General features: G+C 43.6%; 1 protein-coding gene and 1 pseudogene across 1 annotated transcript in view, besides 1 other annotated feature; one reads left to right on the top strand and one right to left on the bottom strand.

The window, feature by feature from the left end:
* Positions 1 to 16,890, bottom strand: part of CCNY (cyclin Y) — a 325,643-nt gene extending 308,753 nt beyond the window's left edge. The window contains exons 1-3 of the mRNA NM_181698.4: positions 16,785 to 16,890; positions 15,704 to 15,806; positions 13,289 to 13,393 (exon numbers count right to left, since the gene is read on the bottom strand). The gene's annotated coding sequence lies outside the window, so the exon portion shown is untranslated. The remainder of the gene's footprint in view (positions 1 to 13,288; positions 13,394 to 15,703; positions 15,807 to 16,784) is intronic.
* RNU6-1167P (RNA, U6 small nuclear 1167, pseudogene) lies at positions 12,863 to 12,956 on the top strand (annotated as a pseudogene).
* Positions 16,109 to 16,287: a silencer, noted in NCBI's record as "fragment chr10:35536556-35536734 (GRCh37/hg19 assembly coordinates)". NCBI's record gives its function as "represses an EF-1alpha promoter that drives an FKBP-Casp9 reporter gene in an ReSE screen in K562 erythroleukemia cells {active_cell/tissue: K562}" and the evidence as "EXISTENCE:reporter gene assay evidence [ECO:0000049][PMID:32094911]".
* Positions 16,891 to 18,318: the final 1,428 nt, after the last annotated feature.

Below are 18,318 nucleotides of genomic sequence, written 5' to 3'. Positions count from 1 at the left end.
TAGAAGAGGGAGCTGAATGATGAGAACACATGGACACATTGGGAGGAACAACACACACTAGGGCCTGTTGGGGGAGTAGGAAAAGCATCAGGAAGAATAGCTAATGGGCGCTGACCTTAATACCTAGGCCATGGGATGATCTGTGCAGCAAACAACCATGGCACGTGTTTACCTATGTAACAAATCTGCACATCCTGCACATGTATCCCGGAACTTAAAATAAAAATTGAATAAAAATATATACATATAAATAATTTAAAAAAGAAAGTAAAAATGTCTTTAATGATGTATTTTACCTTTTGCTTTCCTTCTGTCCCTTTCCTTTCCTCTCTCCTCCCCTCCCCTTTTTCTTTATTTTATTTTATTTTATTTTAAGACAGGGTCTTTGCTCTGCCACTGAGGCTGGAGTACGGTGACACCATCATAGCTCACTGCAGCCTTGAACTCCTTGGCTAAAGCAATCCTCCTACCTCAGCCTCCCGAGTAGCTGGGACTACAGGCACGTGCCACCACACTCAGCTAATTTTTAATTTTTTTTTTTTTTTTTTTTTTTTTTTTGAGACGGAGTCTCACTCTGTCATCCAGGCTGGAGTGCAGTGGCGCGATCTCGGCTCACTGCAAGCTCCACCTCCTGGGTTCACACCATTCTCCTGCCTCAGCCTCCTGAGTAGCTGGGACCACAGGAGCCCGCCACCACGCCTGGCTAATTTGTTGTATTTTTTAATAGAGACGGGGTTTCACCATGTTAGCCAGGATGGCCTCGATCCCCTAACCTCGTGATCCACCCACCTCGCCCTCCCAAAGTGCTGGTATTACAGGCGTGAGCCACCGTGCCCGGCTAATTTTTAAATTTTTTGTAGAGACAGGGTCTCATTATATTGCTCAGTCAGGCTGGTCTTGAACTCCTGGGCTCAAGTGATCCTCCTGCCTTGGCCTCACAAAGTGCTGAGATTACAGGTATGAGCCACCACACGTGACCTTTTTTTTTTCCTTTTAGAACACTGTTCTTAGAGTGAGAATTTTTTTCATGTTTCATTTCTTCCATATTTTCTCAAGTTATGGATTGAGTCAAGGTACTTTAAAACTCTTCCGAGAAAAGACTGGTTAAGAGAAGCCTAAGGTCAGTATAATGTTTCTTCAAGATGCTTTCTAGAGAATCTAAAGGAAAGTCAATACCAGGATAATCCAAACTTTTAGACTCCCCAGTCCCAATATCAATCAATGATATAATTAGTTTATAATTGACTCATGCTGGCCAGTCATGGCGACTCACCCCTGTAATCCTAGCACTTTGGGAGGCCGAAGTGGATGCATCACATGAGGTCAGGAGTTCTAGACCAGCCTAACCAATATGGTGAAACCCCATCTCTATTAAAAAACATAAACAAATAAGCCAGGTGTGGTGGCGTGCACCTGTAGTCCCAGCTACTCGGGAGGCAGAGACAAGAGAATTGCTTGAACCCAGGAGTCAGAGGTTGCAGTGAGCTGAGATTGTACCACTGCACTCTAGCCTGGGCAACAGAGTGAGACTGTATCTCAAATAAAATAAAATAAAATAAAATAAAATAAAATAAAATAAAATAAAATAAAATGACTCATGTTGACCTTCTGTGTGACACTCATACTATTCAATTCTTTTTTTTTTTTTTTTTTTTTTGAGACAGAGTTTCTGTTGTCCAGGTGGGAGTGCAGAGGTGCCATCTTGGCTCACTGCAGCCTCCGCCTCCTGGGTTCAAGAGATTCTTCTGTTTCAGCTTCCCAAGTAGCTGGGACTACAGGCATGCACCACCATGCCCAGGTAATTTTTGTATTTTTAGTAGAGATGAGGTTTTGCCATGTTGCCCAGGCTGTCTCGAACTCCTGATCTCTCTTTTTATTTTATTTTATTTTTTTGAGATGAAGTTTCACTCTTTTTGACCAGGCTGGAGTGCAATGGTACCATCTCAGCTCACTGCAACCTCCACCTCCCTGGTTCAAGTAATTCTCTTGCCTTAGCCTCCCAAGTAGCTGGGATTACAGGCACGCACCACCATGCCTGGCTAATTTTTGTGTTTTTAGTAGAGACGGGGTTTTGCCATTTTGGCCAGGCTGGTCTTGAACTCCTGACCTCAGGTGATCTGCCTGCATTGGCCTCCCAAAGTTCTGGGATTACAGGCATGAGCCACTGTGCCTGGCCTATTCAGTTATCTATATTCCGTTAAATTTTTTTAGAGATTGGGTCTCCCTTTGTCACCCAAGCTGGAATACAACAGCATCATGGTGGCTCACTGTAGCCTCGACCTCCTGGGATCAAGCAATCCTCCTGCTTCAGCCTCCTGAGTAGTTAAGACTACAGGCATGAGCCACCAAGCCTGGTTAATTTTTTAAATTTTTTGTAGGCCAGGTGTGGTGGCTCATGCCTGTAATCTCAGCACTTTGGGAGGCCAAGGTGGGCAGATCACCTGAGGTCAGGAGTTTGAGACCAGCCTGGCCAACATGGCAAAACCCTGTCTCTACTAAAAATACAAAAATTAGCCAAGAGTGTTAGCATACGCCTGTAATCTCAGCTTCTTGGGAAGCTGAGGCAGCAAAATCGCTTGAACCCAGAAGGCGGAGGTTGCTGTGAGCTGAGATCGCACCAGGCTGCACTCCAGCCTCGGCGACAGAGACTCCCTCTCAAAAAAAAAAAAAAAAAATTTTTTTTTTTTTTAGAGACAGGGTCTTGCTATGTTGTCCAGGCTGGTCTCAAACTGCTGACCTCAAGCGATCCTCCTTCCTCAACCTGCCAAAGCTATTCAGTTTTGTTTTGTTTTCTTTTGTTTTTTTAAGGCAGATTATTGCTCTGTCACCTAGGCGGAGTGCAGTAGCACAATCACGGCTCACTGTGGCCTCAACTTCCTGGGCTCAAGTGATCCTCCCACTTTGGCCTCCCATGTAGCCAGGACCACAGGTGTGCACCACCATGCCCAGCTCATTGTTTTATTTTTTGTAGAGACGGGGTCTCACAAGGTTGCCGTGGCTGGTTTTGAACTTCTGGCTTTGAGCAATCTTCCTGCCCAAGTTTTGGGATTATAGATTTGAGCCACAGAACCGGGGCCACTGTTCACACACTTAACACACCAAGCCTTGCAGGAACTGCCACGATCTTTAAATGGAACTATCAGCTTCTAATGTAACTCAAGGATCCCAAAAGTCCCTTCCATTAGGCATTGGTCAGGATTTGGATGTGGAGAAGAGAAATTATGTCCTGGTGACAGTCCCTGCCTGGCAATGTTAACTGGGCAGTTATTCTAAACCACATCAAATGACCTGATTGACCTCAGATGGGGCACAGGCGCTTACATTCTTCTAAAATTTCCCAGGCAATTTTCATGCACAGCCAGCATTTAAAACTCTTTTCTTAGGGTGAAACCCATATCTTAGTTTGCCAACTGGATGCTTTCTCAACTTCCCAGATCCCTGATCGGGGTCCCAGATTTGACATACTATTGCAATTCTGGGAGGGGAGGGGAGTGGTGGGAGTGACGGGAATGATGGTGTCAGCCCAGTCGGCCCCTGGCAGGATGGGTGCAATAGTGGGAGCAGGGGCAGCCTTGCAGAGGTAGGCTCTTACATACAGCATTTGGTCTGTGCTTTAACCCAAATGTAAGTCCCATGATTCAAGAGTCTTTTCTCCCTGTGGTCCTGTCTGACTCAGACTCTGAGAAGAGCTGGCAGGAATGAGTTCATCAAATGCCTTGGTCATGATAGGAAGGATGAGGTAGCATGATACCACAAGAGGCATGGGGGAGAGGAGAAAAGAGAGAAAAGAGAGCACCGGAAAAGAACAGAAAAAGGCACTGAAGGTGGAAGTAGAAAGACAAAGCATGAACAGGATCAAATTCTTAGTCCCAACATAGAGATTGCCGTGCTTTCTCTGGCCCTGGTAGTTTTGCTTTCTTCCTGGGACATTAGTATAATAGAAAATGGCTGTAAGAGTTTGAAGAGCAAGTGATTTTCTGAGCCAATGGGATGCCCCAGGGTCCCTTTAAAAAAAAAAAAAAGTATGTTGTTTGATTATGCATAAAATTTCCTTAAGAAGAGCCCACATTTTCTTTTCTACATTAAAAAAAAAATAGGACTGGGGCTGGGTCCAGTGGCTCAAGCCTGTAATCCCAGCACTTTGGGAGGCCGAGGCAGGCGGATCACTTGAGGCCAGGAGTTCGAGAACAGCCTGGCCAACATGGCCAAACCTCGTCTCTAAAAAAAAAAAAAAAAAAAAAACAATTAGCCAGGCATGATGGTGTGTGTCTGTAATCCCAGCTACTTGGAAGGCTGAGGCAGGAGAATCACTTGAACCCAGGAGGTGGAGGTTGCAGTGAGCCAAGATCATGCCACTGCACTCCAGCCTGGGTGACAGAGCAAGACTCTGTCTCAAAAAAAAAAAAAAAAAAAAAAAAACAACCAGGACTGGGTGTGGTGGTTTATGCCGATAATCCCAGCACTTTGTGAAGCTTGAGCCCAGGAGTTCAAGACCAGCTTGGGCAACATAGTGAGATCCCATCTCTACAGAAAATTTAAAAACCAGCCAAGCATGGTGGTGCACTCCTAGCTACTCAAGAGGCTGAGGTGGGAGGATCACTTGACCCTAGGAAGTCAAGGCCACAGTGAATAAATAAGGCTGAAAATAAAACCCCACCCAAGGAAAAATAACAAGATTTAAAGCTATACTTTCAAACAAAGGCCTGGACAGAGGATTCTGGAAAGATGATCGAATAGGAAGCACCAAGAATCGGTCTCCCTATCTAGATAACAATTACCCGGGCAGAATCTCTTTGTCATAACTGTTTTAGAACTCTGGAATCTATTGAAGACTTGCAGCTTTCAGCAGAATGACTTAGATGGTAAATTGTGGTTAATTTTGGTCAATTTCAGCTCTTGGTGCGGTAGCAGCTACCCTTTTCCTCACCACCTTTCCCCACGGCAGGCAGCAGTGCATGTGTTTCCTTTTTTTTTTTTTTTTAAGACAGTCTCTCTCTGTCACCCAGGCTGGAGTGCAGTGGCTCGATCTCGGCTCACTGCAAACTCCGCCTCCCAGGTTCAATCATTCTCCTGCCTCAGCCTCCCCAAGTAGCTGGGACTACAGGCTCATGCCACCACACTCAGCTTATTTTTGTATTTTTAGTAGAGACAGGGTTTCACTCTGTTGGCCAGGCTGGTCTTGAACTCCTGACCTCATGATCCGCCCACCTCGGCCTCCCAAAGTGCTGGGAAAGGCGTGAGCCACTGTACCCCACATGTGTTTCTAAGGCAGATTGAACCAACTTGCAGGAGCCAGGGTCGGCAAAGAAGCCCTATCCTCCAACTATTAGGAATCTCCACAAATATCAGAATCACTGGTTGCTGCTTTTGATTACAGAGGCAAAAAGAAGCAGGTGGATGATTTTGTTGCACCTCTGTCATTGTGGCAAGACCCTCCTCCTCTGGAAATGAAGGGCCAGCACTCTTCCCCCACCTTCATTTTTTCTTTCTTTCCCCCTTGGGAGTCAGATACTAAAGTCTGGGATAGTCAAAAGCAACTGCATATACAGGGAAAATTAGGAAGTACTCACACCTGCCCAGGGAAAGGCACAGGCTCAGAAGAGGCCTCAGAAGACATCAGCTTTTCACCTCAGCCTGACTTCTTGTCACAAAGGCAGTTGTTAACAATAACAACAATAAACAAAAACCATAACAAAGAACAGCAAACTCTGAGAATCTGATTTCCAGAGTTACTGTGTTTTATTTATTTATTTAGAGACAGAGTCTCACTCTGTCGCCCAGGCTGGAGTGCAGTGGCACGATTTTGGCTCACTGCAACCTCTGCCTCCCAAAGAAACAAAAAAATTCTAGAGCTGAAAAGCACAATAAAATGAAAAATTCACTAGAGGGATTCAAAGGCAGATTTGAGCAGGCAGAAGGAGGAGTCAGTAAAGTTAAAGAAAAGACAGTGGAAATTATTGAGTCTAAGGAACAGAAGGAAAAAAGATTGAAGAAAAGTAAACAGAATCTAAGGGACTTGTGGGACACCACCAAGTAGACCAACATACATATTATGGAAGTCTAATCCCAGAAGAAGAAGGGGAAAGCCAAGAGAATATTCAAAGAAGTAATGGCTGAAAACATCCCAAACTTGATGAAAGATATGAATATAAACATCCAAGAAGCTCGATAAACTCCAGGTAAGATAAACTCAAAGACTCACACCAAGACACATTAGAATCAGACTTTTGAGAGACAAAGAGAAAATCTTGAGAGCAGCAAGAGGGAAGGGGTTCATCACATACAAGGGTCTCTCAATAAGACTGTCAGCACATTTCTCCCAGAGACTCTGCAGGCCAGAAGACAGTGAGCCAAGGTATGCAAAGTGCTAAAAGAAAACAAAACAAACAACAGCAAGAATCTTGCATTTGGCTTAACAGTTCTTCAAAAGTGAGGGAGAAATTAAGACCTTCCCAGATAAAAAATGAGGGAGAGCCAGGTGTAGTGGTGTGTGCCTGCAATCCTGGTTGCTCAGGAGACTGAGGAGAGAGGATCACCCGAGCCCAGGAGTCTGAGACCAGCCTGAGTAACATAGCGAGATCCTGTCTCAAAAAAAAAAACAGAAAGAAAGAGAGAGAAAGAGAGAGAGAAAGAAAGGAAAAAAAGAAAGGGAGAAAGAGAGAGAGAAAGAAAGAGGAAGGAAGGGAGGGAGGGAGGGAGGAGAAAAGAAAAGAAAAAAGAAAAGAAAGAGAGAATTACCACTAGACCTGCCCCACAATAAATGCTCAAGAAAGTCATACAGTGTGAAATGTAAGGACATTAGGCAGTAACTGGAAGCCATATGGAGAAACAAAGATTTCAATAAAGGTAAATACATGGGCCATTATACAAGGTGGTATTATTGTAACAAGGGTTTTTAACTTCACTTTTTGTTTTCTATATGATAGACTATATGATAGTCTCTTAAGAGACTAATACATTTTTAAAAATTAGTCAAAAATCTAGTATTATTATAACTTTGAGTTGTAATTCCACATTTTGTTTTTTACTTTTAAGACACAAATGCACTTAAAATAATTATTAGTTTATGGCTTGGGGCAGCACATTATAAACATGTAATTTCGTGACACCAACAATCAAGAGGAGTGAGGACCTAGCTATAAAGGAGTGGAATTTTTTTTTTTTTTTTTTAATGTTTTATTTTTGAGACAGAGTCTCTCTCTGTCGCCCAGGCTGGAGTTCAGTGGCACGATCTCAGCTCACTGCAACCTCCGCCTCCTGGGTTCAAGCAGTTCTCTGCCTCAGCCTCCCTAGTAGCTGGGATTACAGGCACCCGCCACCACACCCAGCTAATTTTTGTATTTTTAGTAGAGATGGGGTTTCACCATCCTGGCCAGGCTGGTCTTGAACTCCTGACCTTGTGATCCAGCCACCTTGACCCCCCAGAGTGCTGGAATTACAGGTGTGAGCCACCGCCCAGCCTTGTATGTTAAGTTAAAGTGGTATAAATCCAAATTAGAATTTTATAACTTTAGGAAGTTAAATGCGATCTCCATGGTAACCAGAGAAAATAGTTGCAGATATACACACAACGAAATGAGAAATTAACTTAGATGTTCCACTATAAAAAAATCAAGTAAACACAAAAGATAGTAAGGCAGGAAGCATGGGACAAAAAAGTTATAAGGCATATAGAAAAAAATAGCAAAATGACAGAAAACCCACCTTATCAGTGATCTCTTTAAATGTAAATGAATTAAATTCTCCAATCAAAAATCAGAGATTAGCAGCATAGATAAAGCACCTGATCCACTTATATGCTATCTTCAGATGATTTTTATTAGATCCAAAGACACAATCCGTTGGAAGTGAAAAAATGGAAAAAGATATTCCATGCAAATAGTAAGTAAAATAGGACAGGGATGGCTATACTAATATTAGACAAAATAGACTTTAAATTTTTTAAAGTTACAATTGACAAAGAAAGACATTATAGATTAATAAAAAGGTTCAGTACAGCAAGAAGATTTAATAATTATATGGCTGGAGGCAGTGGCTCACACCTGTAATCCCAGTATTTTGGGAGGCTGAGGTGGTCAAATCGCTTGAGCCCAGGAGTTCGAGACCGGTCTGGGCAACATGGTGAAATCCCATCTCTACAAAATTTTTAAAAATTAGCCAGGCATGGTGGCACATGCATGTGGTCCCAGCTACTTGAGAGGCTGAGGTGGGAGGATCACTTGAGCCCAGGAGGTTGAGGCCACAGTAAGCCTTAATCATGCCACTGCACTCCAGCCTGGGCGGCAGAGAGAGAACTTCTCTGAAAATTATAAACATTTGTTGGGTGTGGTGGCTCATGCCTGTAATCTCAGCACTTTGGGAGACCGAGGCAGGTGGATCACCTGAGGTCAGAAGTTCAAGACCAGCCTGACCAATATGATAAAACCCCATCTCACTAAAACAATGCGGAAATTAGCCAGGCATGGTGGTGTGTGCCTATAGTCCCAGAATCGCTTGAACCTGGGAGGTGGAGGTTGAAATGAGCCGAGATCGTGCCACTTCACTCCAGACTGGGTGACAGAGCGGGACTCTGTCTCAAAAAAAAAAAAAGAAAAAAATTATAAATATCTATGCACCTCACAGACCATCAAAATATGTAAAGCACAAACTAATAGACTTGAAGGGAGAAATAAACAGTTCTAGGATAACAGTTGTAGACTTTAATGCCCCACTGTCAATAATGGATAGAACAACCAGACAGAAGATAAGTAAGGAAATAGACGATTTAACAAAATAAACCAACTGTCTGTCTATTAGACATATACAGTTATATACATAGAACAGTTATATACATAGAACAGTCTACCCAGCAACAACAGGATACACACTCTTCTCAGGTGTACATGGAAAGTTACCCAGGGTAGACCCTTTGTTAGGCCACAACCCAACAGTCGATTGTTTAAAATATCATACAACGTATCCTCTCTGACCACAATGGAATAAAGGTAGGAATCAATTACAGAAATAAAACTGGAAAATTCATAGAAATTAAACAACACACCTTTTTTTTTCTTTTTTTCTTTCCTTTTTTTTTTTTTTTTTTTTGAGACAGGGTCTCACTCTTTCCCCCAGACTGGAGTGCAGTGGCACGATCACAGCTCACTGCAGCCTTAACCTCCCTGGGGGCTCAGGTGATCCTCCCACATCAACCTCCCGAGTAGCTGGGACTACAGGCTCAGTCCACCATGTCTGGCTAATTTTTGTATTTTTTTGTAGAGACAGGGTCTTGCCATGTTGTCCAGGCTGGTCTTGAACTCCTGGGCTCAAGCAATCCACTGGCCTCCCAAAGTGCTGAGACTACAGGCATGAGTCACTGCACCCAGCCTAATTATTTTATCATCAAATTAGATGACAAGGAATTATGTGCTAAAGAAAAAAATAACATGTAATAGGTCAGCATTACCAGACTAGGCATTCATCACACTATTCTCAACTCACAGGAAAGCAACCGGTCAGAAAAATTAGGAAATTTCAGAAAGAATATCTCATTACAGCATAATTTTTTTCACTAAAACAGAAAATAAAAATGAAGCTGCAGCCAAAATAAATTTCCAAATGGCTCATTTGTTAGGCAAGCAAACACATTTACTGATGGTGAATTAATTAAATCATATTTAATTTCAGAAGCCAAAGAAATGTGTCCAGAGAAAATAAACTAGTATAAGACTATTCACTTTTCGGTAAAAAACAGTCACTCAAGGCCGGGCGCGGTGGCTCATGCCTGTAATCCCAGCACTTTGGGAGGCTGAGGCCGGCGGATCACAAGGTTAGGAGATCGAGACCATCCTGGTTAATACGGTGAAACCCCATCTCTACTAAAAAATACAAAAAAATTAGCTGGGCATGGTGGCGGGCGCCCGTAGTCCCAGCTACTCAGGAGGCTGAGGCAGGAGAATGGCGTGAACCCGGGAGGCAGAGGTTGCAGTGAGCCGAGATCACACCACTACACTCCAGCCTGGGCGACAGAGTGAGACTCCGTCTCAAAAAAAAAAAAAAAAAAACAGTTGCTCAAACAGTTGAGGATATTGAGAGCAACATCAATAGCCAATTTTAAAACAATGCAAATGATTTTGAGTGATTTTCCTTGGCTTCTAATGACTCAACAGGTATTTCCAACACTATTCAGTTGTTGTTTATTCAAGGAGTCAATGCCTGGTTTGAGTCACTGAATGTTAGCCTCTATGAATGGTCTACATGGAATAAATATAATTGAGAATATTTTCAGAGAACTCGAGAAAACACCATGAGATTCCCTCATGGGGAATCTACTAAGATGTGTTAAAATGGATAGTGATAAAAATCAGGTGTGGTGGCTCATGCCTGTAATCCCAATGCTTTAGGAGGTCAAGGTGGGAGGATGGCTTAAAGTCAGAAGTTCAAGACCAGCCTAGGCAACAAAGAGAGACTCCCCCCACAACACACCCATCTCTACAAAAAAAAAAAAAAAAAAAAAAAAAAAAATAGTGAGCATGCTGGTGCATGCCTGTAGTCACAGCTACACAGGAGGCTAGGGTAGGAGGCTCGCTTGAGCCCAGGAGCTGGATGCTATAGTGAGCTGTGATAGCACAACTGCACTCCAGCCTAGATGACAGAGTGAGATCCTATCCCAAAAAAAATTACGTGGAGAAGACAAAGGCCTAGTTTAACAAATTTACAAAGTTTTTTTAAAATTCAAGGTGTTGGAAGACTTCTTTGTATTCATTGTACTAGTCATCAACAGGTACATATGTGAAAAATATTTGACTCTATCATGTGTTATTCAACCAATAGTGTCAGCAGTGAACTTCATTTGTTCTCATGGACTTAATAGTGTTCAGTCCCGTGAATTTTTGTCATAAATAGAAGCAAATATCCTCATTTGCCCTATCACACAGCAGTTCGATGGTTTTGTAGTGGTAAAATTGTATGGAATATTTTTTTAACCTCATAGTTAAGATACAAATTTTTCTAAATGAGGACTTTCTGCGACCACTACAATTCTGAATGGCTTTGGAAAGTAGCTTCTGCTGCAGACTTGATAATGTTTCTTAATGAATTAAGACTCAAACTACAAGACGAAACAGAGGTTGTATACAAAACTGCTATTCAATAAAGTCATTTGGATGACAACAATGCAGTTGGAACCATAAGCAATATCAAGCCGCTTTATTTACTCCCTCTGCTGTCAAAAAGTAAAACAAGAAGCAAGATCTCCATCCAGTACAAATTTGCAGAGAATATATTTTCCAATACTGTTCCAGCAATATTTTTCATACCTCAATGCAAGTGCAAAGGATATTCTCATTTTTTTTTTTTTTTTTTTTTTTTTTTGAGACGGAGTCTTGCTCTGTCACCCAGGCTGGAGTGCAGTGGCGCGATCTCAGCTCACTGCAAGCTCCGCTTCCCAGGTTCACGCCATTCTCCTGCCTCAGCCTCCCGAGTAGCTGGGACTACAGGCGCCAGCCACCACGCCTGGCTAATTTTTTTGTATTTTTAGTAGAGACGGGGTTTCACCATGTTAGCCAGTTTGGCCCCAATCTCCTGACCTCGTCATCTGCCCACCTCGGCCTCCCAAAGTGCTGGGATTACAGGCCTGAGCCACCGCGCCCGGCCAGGATATTCTCATATTTCAAAACCCATTTAACTGTGCTGTTGAGGAGCCTCTACATAACCTTTGAGGGGAAATGATTAATCTGCAGTGTAGTAATGTGTTAAAAGGCAAATATCAAAGAAAGAATATAATAAAATTCTATAAATGCCCTCAAGCAATGAATATAGACAATTAAAATCTTATGCTAGGATTGATATCAGTGTCCAGCAGTATCTTGTGTGAAAAACACATTTCCTTGTTTTGTAAGTACCTATATAATACCTTAATTTGCCTGTTAGTCTACAAAGCCTATAAATATTTACTATCTTGTTCTTTGCAGAAAATAGAAAAGCACCTCCTCTAGAGGGCTGTAGGTGTCTGAAAGTTGCAGAAAAATGTCATTAAAAGTTGTGTTGAAGGCTGGCCACAGTGGCTGATGCCTGCAATCCTAGCAGTTTGGGCCGCCGAAACAGGCAGATCACTTGCACCCAGGGGTTCAAGACCAGCCCGGGCAACATAATGAAACTCCATCTCTACAAAAAGTACAAAAATTAACCAGGAGTGGTGGCTCATGCCTGTAGTCCCAGCTACTCGAGAGGTTGAGGTGGGAGGATCTCTTAAGCCCATGAGATCAAGGCTGCAGTGAGCTGTGATTGTACCACTGTCTTCCAGCCTGCATGACAGAGCGAGATCCCGTCTCAAAAAAAAAAAAAAAAAGTGACATTGAAGGATTGCTTGCTAGGGAAAGTTTGGTTAAGTATGAAGTCTAATTATTCCAATTTAGCAAACAAAACCTTATCTGCAGTCATGTTACTTTAATCAAAAATAAAAGTGCACCTGAAGCTACATCTTTCTACTACTATAAACCTAACATGAGCAATTTAGTTTCAGCAAACAACACCATCTGTCTCATCTGTGCTGCCAATTTTAATTTTTATTAGTTTTATAGTTTTGTTTGTATTTCATTTGTACATTTTGTATTGGATTCAGACACCAATAACACTAAGGAATTTAATATTATATTTGCTCATATGTATGTAACATTATATTTAAAATAGCCTTTATTTATTTTTGTCGAGATGTGGTTTCACTATATTGCCTGGGCTGGTCTCAAACTCCCCAGCTAAAGCAACCCTCCTGCCTCCACCTCCCAACGTGCTGAGATTTCAGGTGTGAGCTACTGCACCTGGCCAAAAAATAGTCTTAAGTCACAACTCTAAGGTGGACATTTATTTTTCCTTATAAGCATCCAGTTAAATATTCGAATTTGAATGGGAATGATACGAGAAGATTAGCATGGCCCCTGGGCAAGGATGACATGCAAATTCATGAAGAGTTCCATATTTTAATAAAATCTTGAGATGACATTCACCTTAAAAATCCATCCATCAATCAATACTTGATTTTGAGAAAACATTGCCTGAAGTTGAACATCCCCCCAAGATCACAGCAATTGTCTCAATCAGGTGTTAGATGTGAACATGAATGCGAAGCCCTGAATCTTCCCAGATGTATTTTCATTTACTGAAAAGGAACCTTACGAATACACATAAACCTGTTACTTTGAGAAGTGTGAAAAAGCTAAGTGCAGTACTTCTCACCAAATGGTCATGGAAATGGCAGAATGTCAGGAAGAGGCTCTATTAGGCAGAATTGACCTTGACAGCAGTCTGGGCTTACCTCTTCAGATGCAGCAGTTCTCAGACTGAACGTGCACAGAATTACCTAGAGAGCTTGTTTAACAGGTTCTCAAACTTCTCTTCCAAAGATTTTCACCCGGCAGTTCTAGAATGAGACCCAGGGATATGTATTTATAGTAAACATCTCAGAAGATTCTGACTCTGAGGATACATGGACCACCATATTTTGAGAAAAATGCCCTCATGACTCCTGATTTTCATGGCTTCATTCTGTCCTTCACTTTATTATTTATTTATTTATTGAGACGGAGTCTCATTCTATTGCCCAGGCTGGAGTGCAGTGGTGCGATCTTGACTCACTGCAACCTCTGACCTCCAGGTTCAAGTGATTCTCCTGCCTCAGCCTCCCAGGTAGCTGGGATTACAGGAGCCCACCACCACATCCGACTACTTCTTTTTTTTTTTTTTTTTTTGAGATGGAGTCTCACTCTGTCACCGAGGCTGGAGTGCAGTGGCACGATCTTAGCTCACTGCAAGCTCTGCCTCCCGGGTTCACGCCACTCTCCTGCCTCAGCCTCCCCAGCAGCTGGGACTACAGGCACCCGCCACCATGCCCAGCTAATTTTTTGTATTTTTAGTAGAGACGGGGTTTCACCATGTTAGCCAGGAAGGTCTCGATCTCCTGACCTTGTGATGCACCTGCCTCGGCCTCCCAAAGTGCTGGGATTACAGGCGTGAGCCACCGCACCCGGCCACACCCGGCTAATTTTTGTATTTTTAGTAGAGACAGGGTTTCACCATGTTGGCCAGGCTGGTCTCAAACTCCTGACCTCAAGCAGTCTGCCTCCCTCAGTCTCCCAAAGTGCTGGGATTACAGGTGTGAGACACTGCACTCCGTCTCACTTTAGATCCCAGATCTTTTTCAAAGCTGCGAGGTTATTTTTTTCTGCAAGGACTCCCTACTGTACAAGGTGAAGCAGGAAGAGGTCAGCCATTCTATCTTGCTATTCTCTTCATCATTGTCATAAATCCTAAACCACACTTTCTGCAGAACATTCCAGAATATAGCAGTATCTTGGGCTATTTTGTTTGTAACTAACTAGAAGTAATTTTCTTGCTTTCAGGTTTAAAAATTCAAATACCCCAAATAAGTCAACTTGCAGTTAAGAAATAAAATGTGACCAAGACTCATTCTCTATCATTCTAGTTATTTTTTTAAGGTCTTAAACAACATAAACAATCTACACAGTTTTCCATTTAGGGATTTTCTGTAATCTCCACTGAAGTTTTATACATACACAAAAAAGCCCTTGCTTCATTGCTTGCAAAACAGATTAGTCCAGCCCATGCTTAGTGGTTAATATTAATATAAAACCTCTACAACTCAACATTAGTCTCAATATAAGGCATCAAAAACCTAGTGTTGGCAGGGAGCAGTGCCTCACACCTGTAACCTCAGCACTTTGGGAGGCCTAGACAGGTGGATTGCTTGAGTTCAGGAGTTCGAGACCAGCCTGGGCAACATGTTAATACCTGCCTCCCTCATCTCTACTAAATTTCAAAAAAATTAGCCAGGAGTGGTGGCATGCACCTGTTGGGGTTGAGGTGGGAGAATCACTTGAGCCTGCGAGGCGGAGGTTGCAGTGAGCCTAGATCATGCCACTGCACTCTAGCCTGGGCAACAGAGTGAGACCCTATCACTGAACCAAACAAAACAAACCTAGTGTCACTAAAAAAGACTTTTAAAAAGTGTAAAATTCAGGCCACTTCCTAAGCAAACATTGCTGAGGAAACCAAAGTGTTAGTTTGATTTTCTTTTTCTTTTTTAGAGACAACGTCTCACTGTGTTGCTCAGGCTGGAGTGTGGTGGCATGAGCACGGCTCACTGCAGCGTCAGCCTCCTGGGATCAAGTGATCCTCTGGCCTTGGCCTCCCGAAGTGCTGGGATTACAGGTTTGAGCCACACTGCACCCAGCCCTAGTCTGATTTTCTTTTCTTTTCTTTCTTTCTTTTTTTTGAGAGGGAGTTTCACTCTTGTTGCCCAGGCTGGAGTGCAATGGAATGATGACCTTGGCTCACTGCAACCTCCTCCTCCCAGGTTCAAGCAATTCTCCTGCCTCAGCGTCCCAAGTAGGTGGGATTACAGGCATGCACGACCATGCCCAGCTAATTTTTTTGTATTTTTTGTAGAGATGGGGTTTCGCTGTGTTAGCCAGGCTGGTCTTGAACTCCTGACCTCAGGTGATCTGCCCAACTCGGCCTCCCAAAGTGCTGGGATTACAGGCGTGAGCCACCGCGCCCGGCCCCTAGTCTGATTTTCAGTGGGTGTGTTCCTCCACTGCCAGTCCCCACAACCTACTGCCTGTTAAAACACAAAGCATTTATTAGACACAAAAGGTTTTTCTAGGAAGGGAAATAATTTTTAGCACTGGGAAATGACAGGGTCAAGGCTCACCTGGTAGCAAAAAGCTCTGGGGCGATGACTTCTAGTCCCAGTTCAGCTCTTGATGTTGTGACCGGAGGGGACAGGTTCACTGCACGATTTCCTGGCTGTGAACCTAGAAGAGCAAGGACCTTGCTTTTCCAAGGAACCCCAAGTGTTGCACATAAAGTGATGGTGAAATAACAGCCTTGCTGTTTGTGACAGTTCCTGCACCCCTTCCGATGGCTCTGCCATTCGGATTATTCACCACTTGTTTATTCTCAATTTCTTTCTCTATTTTTCTTTTTTTTTTCATTTATTTATTCTTTTCTTTCTTTCTTTCTTTTCTTTTCTTTTTTTTTTTTTTTTGAGATGGAGTCTTGCTCTGTCACCCAGGCTGGAGTGCAGTGGCGCGATCTCTGCTCACTGCAAGCTCCACCTCCTGGGTTTACGCCATTCTCTTGCCTCAGCCTCCCGAGTAGCTGGGACTACAGGCACCCACCACCACGCCCAGCTAATTTTTTGTATTTTTAGTAGAGACGGGGTTTCACCGTGTTAGCCAGGATGGTCTCGATCTCCTGACGTTGTGATCCGCCCGCCTCAGCCTCCCAAAGTGCTGGGATTACAGGTGTGATTTTTTTCATTTATTTCTTTATCTAGAGACAAGGTCTCACTCTGTCACCCAGGCTGGAGTGCAGTGGTGCAATCCTAGCTCACTGCAGCCTCAAACTCCTGGGCTCAAGTGATCCTCCCACCTCAGCCTCCCCAAGTAGCTGGGACTACAGGTGTGCACCACCGTGCCTGGCTAATTTTTAAACTTTTTGTAGACACAGGGTCTCACTATGTTGTTCTTGAACTGCTGGGCTCCAGTGATTCTCCCACCTCAGCCTCCCAAAGTGCTGGGATTACATGCATGAGCCACTGTGCCTGGCCCTATTCTCAATTTCCACACCTTCTCTAGATCATGCCCTGTTCCCTGACCTCTCAAGTCTCCTGGCTGCAGTCTCTGCTAGTGCACCGCCCAAGCAAGCTTTTCACAAACATGACTCCTAACTCCTCAGTCCCCCTCCTCCCCAAGCGTTCTCAGGCCTGGCTCCTGTCACACAGAGCTCACCTCCATGCCTCTGCCCCTGCTGTCCCCGGACAAGCCCCCCAGCCAGGCGGCTCTCAACCTGGTGGCCTCAGTATGATCTTCCTGGTACGAGGCTCACATCTCTCCTGACTCCCACCCACCCATCCCTTCCAGGGTCATCCTGCGTACACTGTAATAATGCCCCTTGTGTGTCATCACTAGGTCATGGCCCTCCTCAGGGCCTGGATCTCCCCTAACTTCCCTTGGGTTCCTGGTGCTCTGTGTACAGTGCACCATCTCCTCCCCGCTCTACCCGCCATGGTAATTAGAGGTTAGACTTGTCATTCTTCAATGATTTGGCCTGTAAATTTGGGTTGATGAAAGATGAGTTGAATGGAAAAAGGATACAGCTTCAGGAAACCTAGAATACCCTGATTTTTATCCTCACCCTCAAGTATCCTATTTCACACATGTCTAAAGATCAACTTACTTCCCAAGGCTTTTCTTTGCTAAATAGATTCCTTCTTTTCTTTCTTTTCTTTTTCTTTTTTTTTCTTTTTTGAGATGGCGTCTCGCTCCGTCACCCAGGCTGGAGTGCAGTGGTGCGTTCTCAGCTCACGGCAACCTCCGCCTCCTGGGTTCAAGAGATTATCCTGCCTCAGCTTCCCGAATAGCCGAGATCACAGGCGTGTGCTAACATGCCCGGCTAATTTTTGTATTTTTAGTAGAGACGGGGTTTCACCATGTTGGCCAGGCTGATCTCGAATTCTTGACCTCAGATGATCCACCCGCCTCAGCCTCCCAAAGTGCTGGGATTACAGGCGTGAGCCACTGTGTCTGGCCAGATTTCCTCTTAATCAATAAACATTTCACAATGACAAACACTATGAACTAAAAATATCATTGTAGCTTAGTATTTGTCCTTATAGCATCACATTTTATATTTGGGAGGTGGTATGGTTTGGATCTGTGTCCCCGCCTAGATTTCATGTCAAACTGTAATCCCCAGTGTTGGCGGTGGGGACCGGTGGAAGTGATTGGATCATGGGGCAGAATGTTTTACCCCCAGCCCCTTGGTGCTAGTTCTCGCAAGATCGGGTTGTTTTAAAGTGCATGGCAACTCCCCTTTCTCGCTCTTGCTCCTCCGGCCATGTAACCTGTGGGCTCCCCCTTCCCCTTCCGCCATGATTGTAAGTTTCCTGAGGCCTCTCCAGAAGCCGAGCAGATGATAGAATCATGCTTTCTGTATAACCTGTGGAACCATAAGCCAATTAAACCTCTTTTCTTTATAAATTACTCAGTCTCAAGTATGTATTTATAACAGTTCAAGAATGAACAATACGGGAGTGTATCCATATGATTCATTATTGTATATGGAAGCAGTAACATCCCACTAATGGGGCATCATAGAGAAGGGATACATCCCCTATAAGTGACATTTCTGGATAAATGAAAATGACCACCAGTCCTTTGGAAATTTCGCTTTTTTTTTTTTTTTTTTTTTTGAGACAGAGCCTCGCACTGTCAGCCGGGCTGGAGTGCAGTGGCGCGATCTCGGCTCACTGCAGTCTCCACC

Source organism: Homo sapiens, chromosome 10 (assembly GCF_000001405.40).
Source record: "Homo sapiens chromosome 10, GRCh38.p14 Primary Assembly".
In the NCBI taxonomy this organism is placed as follows: Eukaryota; Metazoa; Chordata; class Mammalia; order Primates; family Hominidae; genus Homo; species Homo sapiens.
The sequence above is the reverse complement of the archived record's forward strand: the minus strand, read 5'-3'. Positions and strand labels throughout refer to the sequence as shown.